The following is a 19,805-nucleotide window of genomic DNA, read 5'->3' on the forward strand; positions in this document are numbered from 1 at the left end:
TTACTATCTGATTTTTGTGCCATATGTATTCTCTTCCCTTTAGAAAACGTTAAAATTTGTCGGTTTCCCAACACTGCCCTTCCACTCTTCTGTATTAATACAAGTGTGTCTTAAAACACCATGTGCTAGTACACATACTTGAAAAACTAGAGGAGGTGCACCAGTATTTGACCACAGTCCTACAGAACATTTCAGTTATAAACCTCTTCAATCTTAGAGAAGTTGATGCTACAGTAAATAATGCTAAAATAAGACTTCAGTAATCAAAAACATTTTTCAATAACAAAAGTAAAATGCACACACACACACTGAAGCAAATATCGAGTGTTTCATTGTCAGAAAGTACATTGTACTTACAAGTCATTTCCCCTGCAAGAGTAAAAGACAATGAACAGTGAAAAAGACTACCTCCTGCTTTGATAATTGTGCCATTTTGACACTCTTCTATTTCAATAAGAAAAACTATGTAAAAAAGGTGATTGGTGTGAACTGTCCAGAGCAAAACAATTCTTAATGTAGATGACTAAAGTAAGGCACTGAAAAATCAGACATCAAGAGGAATGAAGAATTCCTTATGCATAGTAATCCTAGCATAATGCTCCTTAAGAATATAGGAAATGGTCTTAAAACTTAATCTTTATGCATTTATGAAATTTTTTACTGAACTAAAATATCAATCTGGGATATTCAAGTTGCCTTAACTTTTCAAAAAATGCAAAACTTTTTGGACTTGGATTACTGAAGTTGTTATTTTGGCAATCAACTGGTTCCTTAAACAATATTTCATCGAGACTCAAAAATCAGAAAAGAGTTGTGATTATTACACCCATTTTACAGATGAAGGAATTGAAGCTCAGTGAAGTTAAGCACATTGCCCAAGTTCCCACAGCTAGTAAGAGCACAGAAAGAGGATTCAGACCCAAAGCTACACTTAACCAGAGTCTGTGCTTTTAAAAAAAAAAAAAAAAAAGAAAAAAAAAAAAGAAAAAAAACACACGCAAACAACAACAACCATGTTCCACTCTCTGCTTTGATGTTATGTATTCCTAGCATATTATTTTTTTAAAGTACTAAAATACGAGGGAACTGCTGGAGAGGGTGCAGTAAAACTTGAGCCCTGTAATTTATCTGCTTTTCTAAAAAACAAAATTAGAAATTTAAAAAATTAATTGGTTTTTTGCCATATGTGGTTTATTATGGCATTTATCCATGCAATAAATATTTCCTGAGTAACTCTTCTAGATGCTGCTTTCTGCAATTTTTCTTTGAAATATATAGCTTTTCATCAATATTATGGCTAAGCAGATTATCCATATTATGGAAAACTTGCACTTCTACGAAAAACTATATTCTGAATTCTAAACAACTCACCTGCAAATAAGGTTTTGAAACACATCGATAGTTAAATGAGGACTTTCTTCAAATTAGTTCTGTTTTACTAGTTTTACTGAATATTCTTATACTTTTAAAAGGTTAGCCAATAACTGTATTGTACAATCAAATGATTTCTGAAGCTGATCTTGATCATTTTAATAAGATAGCCCTTAGGAACTTAGGTTACTTTGTTTTAAAAATTGTACAGTGAATATTAAAATTGCCTCATGGCTTAAGATAAAACTGTAAACTTTTAATCTAAATACCTAAAGCTGAGAATTAGCAGTTAACCACATACATTTAAGCATCTACAGACTATAGATTTAAAAATGATGTCCATAGTAACACAGAATGTCCTAGTAATAACTCAGATATAACAAATGCTGGAAAAATTCTCTTTTAGTATCATTTTCAGAAAATGACAATTGTCTTCTTTATTATAGATCTCTCATTAAAACATACTAATTCCTGAATCAAGTGTGCAATCGTAATTCAGTCTGGATGGTGAATATTCAGGACATTTAAGGAGAATTTCTTAGAAAATGCAACTTTTCTGGTTTCTGAAGTTATCTGAGTTAAAAAGGTCAACGCTTTGGGAAGATACAGTTGAAATATCTTCTGGAGATGGAAAAGTATCCTTTGGAGAGGAAAAAATGCAGAAATATGTTTAAAATTTATCTTTCTACCATCTGATTCGGGGTTCCTAGGAAGTGTTTATAAAGTAGAATTCTCTAAACAGTAGATGATGTCAGAGTGAGTGCTATTTGTTTCTAATCTGTTTTTAAAAAATATAAAGTGTATTTTTTCAAGTATAATAGACCCCAGGACTTTATCTCCTCATTTCTTTCTTTCTTTTTTTTTTTTTAGACAGAGTTTCGCTCTTGTTGCCCAGGCTGGAGTGCAATGGAGCGATCCCAGCTCACTGCAACCTCCGCCTCCCAGGTTCAAGCAATTCTCCTGCCTCAGCTTCCTGAGTAGCTGGGGTTACAGGCATGAGCTACCACGCCCGTCTAATTTTGCATTTTTAGTAGAGATGGGGTTTCTCCATGTTGGTCAGGCTGGTCTTGAACTCACAGCCTCAGGTGATCCACTTGCCTTGGCCTCCCAAAGTGCTGGGATTACAGGCATGAGCCACTGCGCCCGGCCCTCTTCTTTTAGTTGCTTACTCACTTAACTTCCTCCCAGATCAGCTAGTTCTCATCTGTGTGAACCTTTTTCAAGTTACCTAACTTTTCTGGGCCTCAGTTTCTTCACCTGTAAATAGGGAAAAAGAATAGTTCTTCGTAGTGCTGTTTTCAGATGGCGCCTGGAACACAGTACATGCTATATAAATTCTAGTTATCCTTACTTATTAAACATCTGCATGTGCCAAGCAATGTAATACAGGGCAGAAAGCAGGAACAGCTGTGAACAACCTACCATAAATATATAATGTCAGGGATGATAAGTGCCTGAGGAAAAATAAAGCACAGTAAAAGTATAGAGAATGCAGAGAACAAGGTGTTATTTTTATATAGAGAGGTCAGAGTCGCTGCCTCTTGGATAAAGACATTGTTTGAACACAGACCTAAAGAAAGTGAGAGCAAGGCACGTGAATGCCTGGGGCAATGGGAAGCCCAGGTAGAGGGACAATAAAGTCCCCAGGTCCCGATGTAGGAGTGTACTGGATAGGAGAGGGAGGAGGGCTGGCAGCTGAGTAGCCAGAATCAGGCAGACGGTGGTAGCAGAAGTCAGAGGCCGAGGGAATCAGGGAAAGGAGTTCAACCATGGAGGACCTTGCTGGCCAGGTTAGAGACTGTGGACTTTTGTCTGGGTGAGACAGGAAGTCACTGGAGGGCTGTGACAGAGCTCTGAGGCTGTGAGGCACTGCTCTGTCAGTGCCATGAGTGGGGAAAACAGGAGCTTGCTGCACTGGTAGAGACCACAGATAATGATGACTTGGACAGAGCAGCTGGGAGAGAACTAGTTCAATAACCCTAACACGCCTCTCCATTCTGCATTTTCCCTAAAAATGTACCTTTAACTAGGATTTATTGAACATCTACTAAGCAAGGTATTGACCTGGACCACTGTACGGATGTTATCTTTTACCCTAATGCTGCAGACCCTCAGATAAAATATAATAAAATTAGGATATTAAAGCTCCAAGAATTTCTGAAGTCAATTATAATTACATTATTTTACAGATGTAGAGTTCAAACTCCAGATGGATGAAATGATTCTCTCAAGATCATACAGCTAGTTAGGTCAAGAAAAGGACCTGGGACTCAGTTTTCCTTACTTTATAAAAGCATATATTCAAATCAGTGTTTTATGGAATTACAAAGATAACTTATTAAAAGGATTTCCCTTTACCCCTTCTGATGTAAAAATAACTGCAAAACTTCTATCAAACATATTCTCATTAGGTTAATATTTAAGAGTATCATTTCTAAATTGAGTATTTTTTAAGTTTCTAAAAGGAGTATTAAAAAAAAAAAAAAGACAGGGTTTTGCTATGTTGCCCAGGCTGGTCTTGATTTTTTTGGCTCAAACAATCCTCCTACCTCAGCCTCCCAAACAGCTGGGACTACAGGCATGTGCTACCATATCCAGCTAAAATGAGTATTTTTGAATTTTTTAAAATTACTGTTTCCTTTAGGAAGTCTATATAAACAACTATTGTCTTAATCAATTGACTGGCAGTTCTGCAAATCTATCATTGATATAAATACCGCCAACTTTCTGTAATTACTTTAGTATGCCAATCTCTTACCAAAATAACTCCTGTAGATTAAAAACAGTATTTGTCAGATTCAGAGATGGCCCCAGTCTACCTCAGCAATAATCAGCAATTATAACAACTTAATATACTGTCTGTTCCCAAGGAAAGGAGAATATAGCATAGTTATTCTTGGGAGTTAAAATAAAGGGACTAGAACTGCAAAGCATGTTTTATTTTTAAAGTAAATTGGAAACTTCATTTAGGATATTTTCAACTACCACATTTTCTTAATTTTATAAAACTCAAAGACATTAAGAAAAAAAGAAATCTGGTTGAGGATAAGGCAAATGTTGATAAGAATCTTCTGACTCATGTCCTCTCTAAGTAATGAGGTGAATAGCTTGTTATGAAATCCTTGTCTTCCCTTCCTCCAAATCTGTGTTTGTATCTGAATTTTGGCACTCCACAGTCTTCACTATACTTAAGCCTACTCCTAGCACCATAAAGCAGGATGGCCAAAAAGCTATAGCTTTCTTTTTTCTTTCTTTCATTTTTTTTTTTTTTTTTTTTTTTTTTGAGACGGAGTCTCACTCTGTCACCCAGGCTGGAGTGCAGTGGCTCAATCTCGGCTCACTGCAACCTCTGCCACCCTGGTTCAAGTGATTCTCCTGCCTCAGCCTCCCAAGTAGCTGAGATTACAGGCTCCTGCCACCATGCCCAGCTAATTTTTGTATTTTTTTTTTTTTTTTAGTAGCGATGGGGTTTCACTCTCTTGGCCAGGCTGGTCTTGAATTCCTGACCTCATGATCCACCCGCCTCGGCCTCCCAAAGTGCTAGGATTACAGATGTGAGCCACTGTGCACAGCCAGCTTTCTTTTTTCTAGGGAAAGTAAGAAGAGATTTTAAGGCTATGAGGAGCTAAGAGGTACTGCTGTCCTAGCAAGAACATTCTGTAAAATTGACTGGTGGGCAGTGAAGCTTGTTCCTGAGATCAGCAATAGAGCATCTTGTAACGTAGTAAGTGTGAAAATAGCTATTTCCCAATCATCTTGTTCATTCCACACACATTAGGGAAGAGGAAAATTCAACTGAGGGCCAATTCTCCCCTAAGAATCCTTTAGTTTAATTATGACCACAGTACATTAAACGTCTGTAAGACAACCATGTTAGCTCTGCTGCTCCTGACTGCAGTGGTGGAAGAGAAGAAACCCTTTCATTACTAAAAAGACAGGGAAGGATGCCTTTGCGGGTCGAAAACATGGTTGAAAATTCAATTTAACTGAACACCAAGCCACTGTGCTTCTTGTTAATGAACATCTTTTTGCTGCTAATTTTGTGCTATTTTACCTTTCATTAAAAAAAGTAATTCAAGTTAAACTCAGCTGAACAGCAAAAAGCTCTTCATATTTTGAAGCATTTTGGAACAATTACTTTGACGGAAGCCCTTGACAGTTAAATGACTCCGTTAAATGAATGTTATAGAAGTCACATAATGATTTTTAGTGAAATATTGAATTTAACCACAAATGAGGAAAAACCAGTCATAAGCGCTATGGGTATATTTGAATAATAACATCTTGCTTATGAAGCTGAATGAATTCTATAATTTCTAATAATCAGGCAATCAACTAGTTAGTTAGTGGGTATGTTCCTCATCTTGGTGCTCTCTATTCATTTTTGATTTTTGCTTTTGCTGTTGTTTTTTTAATCTGAGAAGCCAGTAAGAAAATTTCAAAACTAGCAAGAATTTTCTCTTACATTGGTATAGTATTTTACAGTGAGACAACTAATGAGTTGCTGTCCCACAAATGAAGTCCTCCTCTTTCCTTTTTCTCATATGCTGAATGAGATTCTTTCACAAAGTAAAAAAGCAATAAAAGTCAAGAACATGCTGCCTGAGAAGTGTGAATTCACTGTATGCCAGTGCTTCCTGCATCTGTGGGACTCAATATTCCTTTTCTTGTTTTATGGATCAAATGTGAGATAGTATCAAGGCTTTTGCATGTTTTCTCATGACTAATGACTGAAATATGTACTGAAATAATAAAACTGGTACTGTTCAATTTCCTTTTTAAATTCAATTCCAATATAAGTGACAGTTATCATTGTGATGGTGAAATCTGACTTATTATAAAATTCTGTTTTCTGGAGAAGGAGAGGAGCTAGAAATCCCTGTAGACTTAAACCGTGTAAGTTGTGAGTGGGTAGGGACATTTGGACTGAAGAAATGAGTCAGAAAAAAGAATGTTCTTGTTTGTCTGGCAAGCTGGGGTGAAAGTCGATGCTAAGCATACTGAGTGGTATAACTTGGATCTCTACCCACTGTGTGTGGTTGCATTTCCTGATTCTTCCAAGCAGGTGAGGCACAACTTTCTCCATGTTCTCACTACTCCCTGAATTTATCTTCATCATCAGCAATTGTCGACTTATACTTTAATTGCCTATTTACATGTCTGCTCCCCAGTGAAAGGTCACTCCCTAAGAACAGGGAATATCTTTTCATCTTGCATCCCCCAGCATTTCTCAGCTCAGATTAAGCTGTCCAATAAATGTATTTTTTAACAAGTAAACTTTTAACCTCTTCAGTTGACAGTGAGAATACATGGGAAAGGCCAGATAGTTTAAATATAAATACTAGTTAAAGTCCAGATACACAACAAGCTGCTTAAAGTAGCTACCACCTATAATCTTGCTACTCAAAGTGTGGTCCACAGTTCAGTAGCAGCAGCAGCATCTGGGAGCTTCATACATCCAGAATTTCAGGCCCTGCCTTAAGACCTCCTGAGTCAGAATGCATTACAAGATCCCCAGATAACACTATGCACGGTGAAGTTTGAGAAGCATTTACCTATAACATATGATAGTAGGAGGTATGAAGAAGTGATGGGTATATAATGGAGAAGAAACAAGGCCAGGCATTCTGATTAATACAGAAGTCTACTGAGAAAGTTTTAGAGCTCTCCCAGGACAGAGTCACTCAATGCTCACAGGTCGGAAACTCGCTCATACCAGTTACCTTGGAACCCCTTCTAGACACTTCTTCACAAGTCTTTCCTGTTTAAAGACAGAGCTACTCTTAATAATTATCTTTTCTCCTTGCTGCAAAGAGAGTATTTATCGTCAACATGCTGACATGTCCAGGAGTTTTGGCTTCCTCCACTGAAAATGTGGAAGATTGAAAGGATATTGCTGACACCTGAATAAGAAATCCAATGACTCCAAGCTATGTAAATTTAATTATTTCCTTTAATTTTTTTTTCAGGAGTCTTTTTTTCTTTTCCTGAGCTTTGGAGAAGTCCTGGCAATTTTCATTTAAAAAAAATACAAGTCAGCAGTGGTTCAGTGAACAGGCTGACACGTAATTTCATAGGGGGAGACGCGCTCTGTCTTTAATCTAATTTGTGCTCTCAATTCCCAGCTAATGTATCTAGGGATCCTGATGTACGCATTTACAAGGAGATATCTGTAATGCAGAGTCCAGCTCTCTGCAATTCTCTGAAACATGGGTAAAAAATTAGTCTGGGTTCTTGCAGCTGCCCTACAACACGATAAATCTCTATATACTCACAGATGTAGAAATATTCTCGGCCTGGCCTGAATTCAAATCCTAGAGAAAAGGGAGTGAAGAGCTGGAATTTTTCAGAGAACTTCAGCGGTCCATTTGGAGAGTGAGGCCGGTTACATTCCCATCTCTTGAACCCTTTGGAAGTGTGGTCGCAGGCACTGTAGCCATCAAAGTTCACCATGTAGAGGACATAGCGCTCAGTCTTATCTTCTGGGACGGAGTCCTCATAGTGAGGGCAGAAAACATCCAGGTAGTCATTGATACAGACATCAATATGGTAGTCACCCCTCTGGAATCTGTTAGAAAAAGAAAAAAAAATGTGATAATTCATAGAGAAAGGGCTTTCTGCTTGGAATCAGTGGTTAAGCCATTCAATAATTTTGGAGCTAAAGCATCTAGTATAGTAAGTTCTTACTGAATGCCATTATGATTTGGGGCATGGTTTGAAATGTTGCAGTTCCCAATCTAAGCCACAAAAAGCCATTTTACAGTGAGATTCCATTATATTTGTTTCAAAATATCCTACAAACTAAGTGCTTTGCTTTCATTTTAAATATTATATTAAATATCACTCTTTCAAACTGTGGAACTCTATAGAGGTACTAGTGTGCTGTTTTCCATGTTTCCTTTCATTCTTAAAAATCATATATTAAAACAAAGTTTTTATATTTTTATAATAGTGTTTCACTTGATAAATATTTTTGAATAAATGAATGAGGAAATTAAAGAACAAATAAATGACCGAATTGTTTTTTGTTATAGTTGAGGCCATTTTCCACTTTCTATGCAAATGAGAATTACAGCCATAAAATTGGGAGAATTAGAATCATAACATTTTACAGTTAGAAAGACAATTCCTAAAACACTTCCATTTTAGAGAAAAATAAAAAGACATAAAGATGAAGCAGTGAGTGATTGAGCCAAACCTAGTATGGAGACTTCGGATCCCAGTTCAGTGCTTTTCTTAGATCTGCTACGTCAGAAACTTATTTTAGTGCATCTCGATTTTGATGCAGCATCTTTTCCATACTGAGAAAACAACCCATCTAAATCAAATGGCTCTTCCCCTCATTTCTTTTAATCCCTCAACAGGTCATGTTCTAGAGCTGGGCTGGTGAGTAATGAAAGTAACAAGCCAAATGAAAATAGCCAAAACCACGGCTAATTCATCCTAGTTAAAAATGTACACACCTGAATACACACACCTCCCACCACAAACACCACACTGTCTGCTTCAATTCTCATCTCACAAAAGTTTTGCTTATCTGTTTTAACTAATGTGTCTTTCCCCATCAGTCGAACAGTATTTCCCAAGACACAACGATGTGTGAAACAGGAACTGTTATGCATACAACTTTCTCAGTCTAAAATCATGGTGGAAAAGCGTACAAAACTCCTTTGTTTTTAGCTGGTGAGGAAATTCTTCTCTGAGCCCTCAGAAATTTCATCATAAAATTGTGTTACTGCTGAAATACAATGCTCATAAAGTCATATAATCTCCAAGCTGGACAGTCTGAGTGTGAACACTTCCCAGTGGCAGTGAGATAGTTTATTCCATTTTTGGACATCTCTAGATGTTGGAAAGTTTCTTCTTATATTCAGCATATCCGCTTCTGTGTAATTTCTACCCAGTGATCCTACTTCTGCTGCCTGGAATTACAAAAAACAAATCAAATTCCTCTTCTGCAAGGGAGTCCATAAAACATTTCAAGATGTCAGCTATATCTCTCTATATCTTCCTTTCTGCAGACATTTGAAAATCTTGATTCCCTTGGTTCTTTCTAGTATAGTTCCCAGGCTCCTCATCATTCTAGATTCTTGACCCTTCTCATAGTCTCCAGTTTCCCAGTATATTCCCCATAAAATGCAGCACCCGAACATAAACATAATAACGACCTCTGACAGTTTGTGACCAATGTCCACCCCAGTAGAAATATACCACCTTCTAGCCGGGTACAGTGGCTCACGCCTGTAATCCCAGCACTTTGGGAGGCTGGGGCAGGCGGATCACTTGAGTCCAGGAGTTTGAGACCAATCTGGCCAACATGGCGAAACCTTGTCTCTACTAAAAATACAAAAAATATTACCCAGGCATGGTGGCATATGCCTGTAATCCCAGCTACTCGGAAGGCTGAGGCACAAGAATGGCACGAACCTGGAAGGCGGAGGTTGCAGTGAGCTGAGATCACGCCACTGCACTCCAGCCTGGGTGACAGAGTGAGACTCGGTCTCACAAAAGAAAAAAGAAAGAAATAGACCACCTTCACTCTGGATGCTAAATATTCATTGACAAGCCAAGATACTCTTCCGAGAGACAACATTGTGAAAAAGTAGAGACACCATTCATTTTGACTAAGTAGACCTAGATTTAAGAACTGGATCTGCTGTTGGTTGAGTGGGAGAGTCATAAATCATTCTGAGCCTCAGTTTCCTCATATGTAAGTTGGGCTAATCATGAGAACCTGCCTTGCTGGCCTCTGGTGGCTGCTTCAAGCCTTAGATAAGGAAATGTATGGAACAAACTGTGTAGATGTAAACCACTGTTACCATCATCAGGATATACCAAAGCATATTAAAATAAGTAAATAAAATATTAATTTTAAAATAATAGCAGTAAGAACATACAACAGAGATAAAAATAATATGTATATTTCCCCTTTTAAAAATCCAAAAGGAAAATCATATAGAAATGTTAAATTCTGTCCTTAAATGTCAAATGATCCATAGCAACTCCACTTGACCCTTGCTCTTGAAAAGCAGCATGCTGATTTACACAAGAGAAATAAGGACAAATTCTCAGAATATTCACTTTTCAGCTAGAGGATCCCAAACTACATAACCATTTTTTTAAAAACCGAAAACACTTGGAAGTATTTATATATTTGCAATGACCACGAGTTTACTTTTTCTTCATTACTAGCAGACAATGATTTGTCAAGATGCAAGGAAAGCCTGTGTTGCTTTTAAAAGATTTTTGAACATCAAGCTAACATCACTGCCAAAGTACAGAGAAAAGACACTGCAAAGTTCAGATAAAAGGGTGCTGGGATATGAAGCATCAGCACTCAGAGTAGCCTGACAGTTTTGGATAAGAGCCAGACAAGAACAGCAGAAGGCAATGCCCAGATGCACTTTATATTATTATATTATTATTATAGATTTTAAAGAGATTCAAGGGGGAAGTTTTTTCTTTCCCTAAGTGTCACTCATTTTAGCTTCCACTAGCATTTGGCACTGCTCAAAGTGAAAGTAAAAATTAAAACTGCCATTGTCTGGACCCATTCTGTTACTCCTTTATTCTGTAATTCCTTTATTCCACAACTGAAAAAAAAATGTCAGTTTCTTCATGCCTAGAAGTTTGCTCTCCTTTCCTAACTCTTACCCCTGTTAATGTTGCTAAATTTTTACTAAAGCAAACTGTGAGGCTGAAGACCCATTCTACTTTGTGTTGACCAGCTATCCCTTCTGATGACATTTTATTTTGCATGGAGTGTTAAGTGAATTACGGTGGTACCTATTTCAAACATGCGATTGCCCCAGCAATTATTATTTCTTTCTTTCTTTTTTTTTTTTTTTTTTTTTGAGATGGAGTTTCACTCTGTTACCAGGCTGGAGTGCAGTGGTGTGATCTCGGCTCACTGCAACCTCCGCCTCCTTAATTCAAGCAATTCCCCTGCCTCAGCCTCCCAAGTAGCAGGGATACAGGCATGCGCCACCACACCCAGTTGATTTTTGTATTTTTAGTAGAGACAGGGTTTCACCATGTTGGCCAGAATGGTCTCAATCTCCTGACCTCGTGATCTGCCCAGCTCGGCCTCCCGAAGTGCTGGGATTACAGGCGTGAGCCACCGCGCCCGGCCACAATTAGTATTTCTACCCTTTTAGCAGCCATACGACGAAGAAAAGATGATGATTCACTACAGAATCAATTTACACTTTTGTTTCAGATCTTAAATTCATATAGTTTAGTAATGTACATTTCAAAGGGTGGACAATATAAATATAAAAACAATGACAAACTGGAATTCATAAAAGGCAGCTATATAACGTACTCAAGTATAATCCAAAGAAAAGTTTAGGATCACATATGCTAATCCTATTAGGTTGGTGCAAAAGTAATTGCGGTTTTTGCCTTAATATATCAAATCATGTTCTCTGGGTATAAAGTAGAATGGAACCATTCTTTTCTGGCCATACTGTGAAGGAGCACATAAGTATGGCTAATATTAGAGTGCTTATTATGTTACATTCATTATCTCAACTTAATCTCTATTACGATGCCACGGAATAGCCACTATTATTACTACACCCATTTAAAGATGAGGAAATTGAGATTAAGAAGTCAAGCAACGTGCCCAATATTACACAACTAGTAAAGAAAAGGGGGAGGCAGAATTCAAACCCACTCTGACCTCAGAACCAAAGCTCTTCACTTTTCCATTTTGTGAGAGATTAAATTGCTAGAGCCAAGTCCTTAGGTCAGCACTATATTCCTCCAGAGGGACCCATTTTCATTCTTGATGAGGTTTCAGTTCTCTCCTTCATTCACGGATGCAACAAATATTTGCTGCATCCAGGATCTGCTATGGGCTTTACATATGTTATCATATGAAATCCTCGAAACAACCCTATTTTGTAGTTTTAATTAGTTTCACTTTACCAATGAGTCGAGGACATTCAGAGAGGGCATTGTCCAACTTTTTATAGCTAATAAATAGCAGAGTTAGGATCTGAACTCAAGTCTTACATGGTTCTGAAGCATATTCTTGTCCTCCTAACCACAATGGTTCCAAAGCTTCACCAGCTGTAGTAACGACCCTCTTAAGAGTTGGGTTACCTTTATATTTACACTGGTCTTCTAGCAGAGCATTGCAACAAGGTGTCCCAGCCCTACTGTCTCCTCCATGAGGTTTGTCCCAAACTCCTAAACTGGAAAGCTGAGGGGTGTGTCAACATTTAGAATAAGCCTCAGATTGCAGGGTTAGCTCCTGACTCATCCTTTCACAGAATAACATGTTGTTAGGCTCAGCAGCCATTCACATAAAGGAATCTTTTTTCCATCAGGAAGCAGCTTTCATGAGCTCTAGCTCATATTAAAAGAGGAAACTGACATCTAGGAAGACTGATTCTGCATGCCAATATTTACAAATGCCATGGGTAACACAGCCATTGCTTTAACATATTTGTAAATTTCTTGGAAAATTTCTTGTAAATGTCTTCTCTTTATGTCTTATCCTTAATTCCATCCATTGTATCAGCAGTTCTATACCTCTATCTGAGATCACCACATAATTTTAACTATAAGAATTTCTGGCTGTACACCAAGCCAGCAATAATTACAATACAATCTCTACTAAATTATCACAGTGCTTCACAATCTAAAAGCATGCTCAGTTACCATACTTAGAAAAGCAATTGTGTTTGAGTCAAACAATTACGGCCCTGCCTGTTTTCACAGTGTAAAAGTCTCAAGAGTCAAGAAACATCTCATATGCATAAAAAGATGGTCACTGCTCCCCAGAAGGCTGCATGGCCACTTAGGTCAATGTTCTGTGCAACATAAATAGTTGACCCTTGAGCAACACGGGTTTGAACTGCATGGATCCACTTACACGTGGACTTGCTTCTACCTGTGCCACCCCTGAGACAGCAAGACCAATCCCTCCTCATCCTCAGTCTACTCAATGTGAAGACAAGGATGAAGACCTTTAGGATTATCAACTTCCACTTAAAAAGAGTAAATATATTTTCTCTTCCTTATGATTTTATTAATAACATTTTCTTTTCTTGAGCTTACTTGATTATAAGAATATAGTATATATGTTTAACATAGAAAATATGCATTGACTGTTTATGTTAATGGCAAGGCTTCCAAGCAATTGTAGGCTATTAGTAGCTAAGGTTTTCAGGAGTCAAAAGTTATACCTGGATTTTCAACTACATGCAGGGCCAGTGACCTTAACCTCCCACATTGTTCAAGGATAAACTTCATATTATATGTACTCTATTATGGCAAGAATACATTGTACACATTTATGAAAATTTGGTGGTAGACTGGTTCAGAATCAATGTCATATATATTATAAAAGGGTAATTTTAGTTAATTTAGGAAAATAAAATTCAGCATGGCAACTAGTCCTTTGCAATCATCTCAAATACCAAAAATGAATTATGTACTTTATGGTAGTTCTTGATAAACCAGAGGCCACCTGGAGCATTGGATAAAAAGCACGTATCTAGGGCTATTGACAGCAAAAGTAACAACTGAAGCTGGGATTAGAGCTGAAAAAGTGTGCTTCTGGAAAGTGTGTTTGTTTCTCAGTGTTTACCTGATGACATTCCATTATATGCTGAATAAATTTTAATTTTCAATTTAAAGCCACTGTTAATATCTCTCCCTTGCTGAGCATGGTGGCTGATGCCTGTAATCCTAGGACTTTGGGAAGCTGAAGTGGGAGGATCACTTGAGCCCAGGAGTTTGAGCCAGCCTGGGCAATATAGTGAGACTCCATCTCTATAAAACATTTTTTTAAAAAAATTAGCCAGGCATAGTAGTGTGTGCCTGTAGTCCCAGCTACTCAGAAGGCTGAGGCAGGAGGATCACTTGAGCCTCAGAGGCAGAGGTTGTAGTGAACCGAGATTGTGCCACTGCACTCCAGCCTGGGCAACAGAGCAAGACCCTGTCTCAAAAAAAAAAAAAAAAATTGCTCCCTGTACTGAACCTATCTGCAAGAAGTAAGTCATGACTTGAGTCTCAGAATTCAGATGAAATAAAGACAAGAGAAGTGAGGTAACAGTTGACAACTAACTTTTCATTTAGATCTCACCAGTGTGCCCTCAACTTTCTACTGAGGAAGCAAAGCATTGTTTGATGACATTAGGTAGCCTAAGCTGTAAGAGCTTTGTCCTCCTAAGTATTTCATTTTCAAACTTGGGTGGCTGAAAAAGGTACATCTACTACTTGAATAGTCTAGGTCCTTTACTAGTCTCAAGTGTAAGTTCTCAACGTACTCTGACCCTGTCTCTTGGTTCCTCTTTACTAAGGTAAGTAGATACCACCTCGCTTTTCTTCCTTATGATTTTCATGGTGCCGACCTGACTTCCTCCTGGACCCCACACTCCTGTGTTGTGGATATTGACAGCTGGGGAGGCCACATTGAAAGGACACTCAGGCAGTGCCCTGGGCTTCAGGCTGCAGAGGAGCAGCACCATAATCCTCCTTCTCTGAGTTCATCTTTAGCCACTTTGCCCTGCAGTCTTCCTCCTTTCATTCCATCCTCATTTGCTAAAGCCAAAATGCATTTCATTTTAGTAGCTGGAAAAGGAAGGGTATGGTGCATATTTAAAATGTTCTAAATTGGCCTTTAGCATATGTTGCTGGCACAGCAGAGAACCTGCTTCCAGGGAAATATGTATGGAGGTATTTTATCAAGAAGCTCCTGAGTGAAGTTTCTTCACTCCATAAATATAGAAACAGCATTACTGAAAGGAGACAGTGTTATTAGAGGTTAGGAAGCTGTGAGATACTTTCATCCCCCTTCACATTATGTTTTAAAGAATTCAATAATGAAAATGTTATTTCTCATGAACTGGATAGTTGATTATTACATTTTAAATATATTTTAATCTGTCAAAGAGGTGATTGTTTTAATATTCCTACTTGAACAGAAATCCAATGTCACTTCTTTAATTACAAGGCAACCTAATGTATTACATTCTGAAATTGAAATGTAAAAGAAGGATATGATTTATGGTCAAAGATTAAGCAAATTTATCAGCTTAGGGTTCCTCCAAAATTTTAAACTAATTCTAGAGTGAATATATCTTGGGAGCACTGTCTTCAAATTCTACTATTACTGATTTAAAGGCTAATTTCAGAACAAGATGTCTGTTTTTAACTAGTATAATTTTTCATTTGTCCCAAAAGGGGCTAATGGGTCCTGCAACAGATATGGGTTTGGTTTATAAATATGTTTTTGTGAGGAGATGGGCAGGACAGCAGTCTCTGTTGTATAACATGCTGCTTCTTGCATCCTTCTGTTATTCCTTTCAGCACAGAATGCAAGCCTTATGGCTTTCCTATTCTAAATCTGAAGATGCTCTTTTTTTTTTTTTTTTTTTTTTGCTTTTCTGTGGAGGTTAAAGCATCGAATACAAACAGCACATCAAACAGGGTAGATAAATAATACTAGCATCACTAAGGGCTGAACAAATATTTGTTTTGTTAATTTTAAATTTCTCTTCTCTCTCATGGACTGAAACATGTCTATCTTTCAGATGTATTGGTAATCAACCTCAATGTTCAGCTCTGAGAGAAGAGGACTCATGGATAGTTTCACTGTTACCCCACCAGGTGTGAAGGCTGAATGAGACCTTATATGATGACCAAAACACATAATTTCAGACCAATCCAGCTCTTCCAGGCTTTAGAACATGCTAAAATCAATGAATATTCCTAGAGAAGTGAAGGTTCACAAGTTAAAAAAGTATTCAAGGATAAATTTCAAAGATTTTTCCTACTTATTTGGCAGCAGAAATGCAGTATGCTACAATATATACTGACAAAATGTTTGGAACCTGGAGTTGGTGCTGTGTTTATACATTAATGAAAGTTCCAACAGAGTTCTTGCACGTGCATGTTTTGATAATTAAAAATTCTGCAGCATAAGAGTTTTACCTTAAGTTCAGTAACTGTTGATGATGATAAGAAGACATCATTTTCTTGGCCAAATATTTAGAATTCATCAGCAGTTTATTATACTACCCTGTCACTTTTTTTCTTGTATGTATGTGTGTGCACTTTAAAAGCAAAACATTTAAAAATCCCACAATACTAATTACTCATATCAGATAGATAGATAAAATTCACATAGCTTTTGCCTGTTGCTTTTCTACTACAAGTCATGTCAGTCTGAATGACTTTTTAAAACTGCTATCTCCCAGAAATTGCACCTGTTTCATATAAAAGGCCCAGGCCCACATAATGTTCTCTCCTCCAGTGTTGTAACTCATTTGGAGTTTGTTTTATTAGCTTGATGGAGGAGTTTCAAAGGAAAGAAAGCATTAAATTGGCAGAGCCTAAACAAGACTTTCCCTCAGGAAGGGGCTGGAAGCTTTGGGTGACAGTCTAATTGCTTCTAAGCCCCCAAAGAGGCCTCGGGCATGGAGTAAGAGTGTGTCAACGTCAACAGGGCCAAGTCAGCCAAAGAATTAAGCAGGCAGAGTTCTAAAGACCTAACACATCACAGATCACTTCAAATGGCTTTCAAAAGGAGATTTTAAAGAAATAGTTAATGTCTGGCAATCAGTATAGTCCTAACAGACGTCACTCCCACAATGCAAAACACGCTTTTCCTCTACTCCTGCTGGCCAGGAGCTTCCTATCAAAGCTGTACTTCAGGTCTTAAGCCAGTAGAGTTTTACACCCCCCAGCCCCAACTTCAAGCACATGAAGCAGAGCACCTGCCACATACACACAGACCCAGCAAAAGGAGACACAGGCAACCATCAGATAGGCTATCTAGCCACTGTCCAAGGAGAACAGGATTAAACAAACTGACTCTGATCAGGGGATGTGGGCGTCAATCAAACAAATAAGCCACCTGTCAAACTGCTTACTTCCATGTAGCCCTTTTGTATCTTCTAGATACAAAAGAGAGGAGAGTTACCCAGCAGAATTTCAGGCTATTCACAGTTTCAAAAATAATAATAATAACTAAAGGGTTAATAAGTAAATCTCCTTTTTATTGACCAACTCAAGGAGAGATTTTTGGAAAAGAGTGATTTAATAGTTCTTAAGTACTTGGTGTGCAAAGAGTGAACTAAATGTTTGTATTATGGGTTGATGATAACTTACTGGAATCATTACAATCTAAATCTGAAATTTAGCCCACACTTTTAAAAAATTGAGATATCTGATAATTAATCTGTTAATTTATTAAACAAACAAGAAATAAATTGGAAGAAAGAAAATACATGGGTTTTATGGCTTTCTTTTATGTTTTATCTTCATCAGACAAGGGGAAGCATATATTTGGTAATGCTAGGGCATGATAATAATAATAATGTTTTCATACAAAACTGTAGACAATAAAGCAGAAATTGTGGCTGTTTCTATGGAAATTGGCACGTGCAAGGTAATTACTTCTATTTGGCCAGTTAGGACCTTGTGAGCAGTTGGATACAAATCTGGGACTGGGAATGAGGCTAATACAAAGAAAAGAGCTCTGCAGTCATTAGAAACGAGGTGGTGATCGTAGTCATAAAAAGTACTGAATTCATCCAAAGTCAATGTATAGATTTAGAAGAAAACTGGGACTTTGCTGAATGCAAATTGCTGTAATTATTACTATACTAGTTTTATATAGATTTATTTTTTACGTATAGATCTCCTTGAAAATAGTAATGGTGTTTACTTGTCTCTGTATCCCCAACACTTAGCACCATGTTTGCACATAGTAGCGACTACATAGATGTTCGATGAAGAGGAATGTAGCTGAAGGGTATGAGAAGTGATGCTTAAAAACAGAAGAACTGTGTAAAGCATCCAATAATCTCTTCCTGTGTTCTGGGTCCCAGTATAAAATTTTGAGAGAAGCTAAATATTATAAACAAAGGTCAAGATCAGGAAACAAAATAATGGCAGGCTGCAAAAAAGGAAAATGATAACCAGGACTGTTGTTCAAGCAATGCTAGAAAATTATGCCTAACCAAGTAGACAACTTAAGCACCTAAGGCAGAATGAAAGTTTCTCTCTTGTCATTAAGTCCTCTATTCAATTACCATTTATCGGGGTAATTAAACACTGGAAAGTGATGCCAGGCTAATTGTTAGATTATGATAATTACACGTCTTTGCTATGCTACAGCTGATCAAAATAAGATGTGGTCCCGTGCACTTAGCCAAAGCTGCTCTGTAATCGTCAGACTTTTGTACAGTGCTAGGACATTTATTACTAATTCATTACAAATCAGGCGGAGAAGCTTATTATTTGTAATGCTTCTACCCCCTACCCCCACACAGCCTCCTGAAACAAGACTCACAAAAGGTTAAGCACAAACTTCTGCCTCTCATTGGCCCATTGCCATCCCAATTACACAGCTGAACAGCATTAGGTGCCTCTATTTGAGAGGGTTCATCAGGCTGCTTCACAAACATCCTGCAATCGCCTATCACATTGGCAGAAACATCCAAGACCCCTTTTCAGCCCCTGCCAACCACTGTTTTGCTCTCAGTTGTGTCCCAGCAACCATGAGCTGGAAATCCAGAGACTCCTTTGGTTTTGGGGCTCCCTCCTGCTCAGGTCAGGCCTCAGCTAGACTGAGATATGTCCAGGGGTTTGCTCCAGTTAGCAGGAGTCATGGGGAATACAGACTGTTCTCCACCTACCTGACATCCAGTCTCTGTTCTTCAAGCTGGGATCAGGAGAGGAAACCAGCGTTCTCAGGCTCCCACCAGAGTCACCACAAAGCTACCAAATAGATTCGGATCTTTGGAGAGAAAGACTAGAACCAATGCATTGTCCTTGGGCTTTACAAGGCCAGAATCCCTGGCATATCTGGGGGTTAGAAATCTCTCCTTCCATCCCTGTACTAACTGCTCCAGGCCACTGTTGGAAGGTGGGAAGGCAAACAGGTATTTTATATTCTTCACTTGGCTTTATCCTGGAACTTTTGAGGTCCTCCCTGCAACCATCATCAGAATGTGTTAGCATGAGCCACTGTGAGGTGGAGGAAGCATAGAGCATCAGGTTAAAAGTTTAGTAACTGCTACATTTATGTCATGGTATGGCTCTCTATTTTAGGATTTTTTTTCTCTTATTATTTTAGCAGTGTTACAGACTGAATGTCTGTCTCTCCCACTCCAATTCATGTTTAAGCCCCAACCCACAATGTGATTGCATTTGGAGACAGGGTCTTTTTTGGAAGTAATTAAGGTTAAATGAAGTCACAAGGGTGGGGCCCTAATCCAACAGGATTAGTGTCCTTATATGAATAGCAGAGAGCTCATTCTCCTTCTGCCATGTGAGGACTCAGGGAGAAGATGGCTGCCCCAAGAGAGCCCCCCACCGGAAATCAACTTCTGCTAGACCTTGGTCTGGGACTTCTAGCCTCCAAAACTGTGAGAAAATAAATCTCTGTTGTTTAAGCCACAGGGTCTATG

The 19,805-nt window shown here is 38.1% G+C and overlaps 1 protein-coding gene across 3 annotated transcripts in view, besides 1 other annotated feature; it reads right to left on the reverse strand.

Annotated features, from left to right (window-relative positions):
* The window catches only part of EFNA5 (ephrin A5), a 294,044-nt gene that overhangs the window by 42,677 nt on the left and 231,562 nt on the right, over positions 1–19,805 (reverse strand). For all 3 annotated transcript variants that reach the window (NM_001410773.1, NM_001962.3, XM_011543250.4), the window contains exon 2: positions 7,647–7,939. In NM_001410773.1, the coding sequence (NP_001397702.1) occupies positions 7,647–7,939 (293 nt within the window). The remainder of the gene's footprint in view (positions 1–7,646; positions 7,940–19,805) is intronic.
* Positions 3,194–3,323: an enhancer, noted in NCBI's record as "active region_22862". NCBI's record gives its function as "activates an Ori minimal core promoter by ATAC-STARR-seq in GM12878 lymphoblastoid cells {active_cell/tissue: GM12878}" and the evidence as "EXISTENCE:reporter gene assay evidence [ECO:0000049][PMID:35858748]".

The sequence above is a fragment of the Homo sapiens genome, chromosome 5 (genome assembly GCF_000001405.40).
Source record: "Homo sapiens chromosome 5, GRCh38.p14 Primary Assembly".
Taxonomy (NCBI): Eukaryota; Metazoa; Chordata; class Mammalia; order Primates; family Hominidae; genus Homo; species Homo sapiens.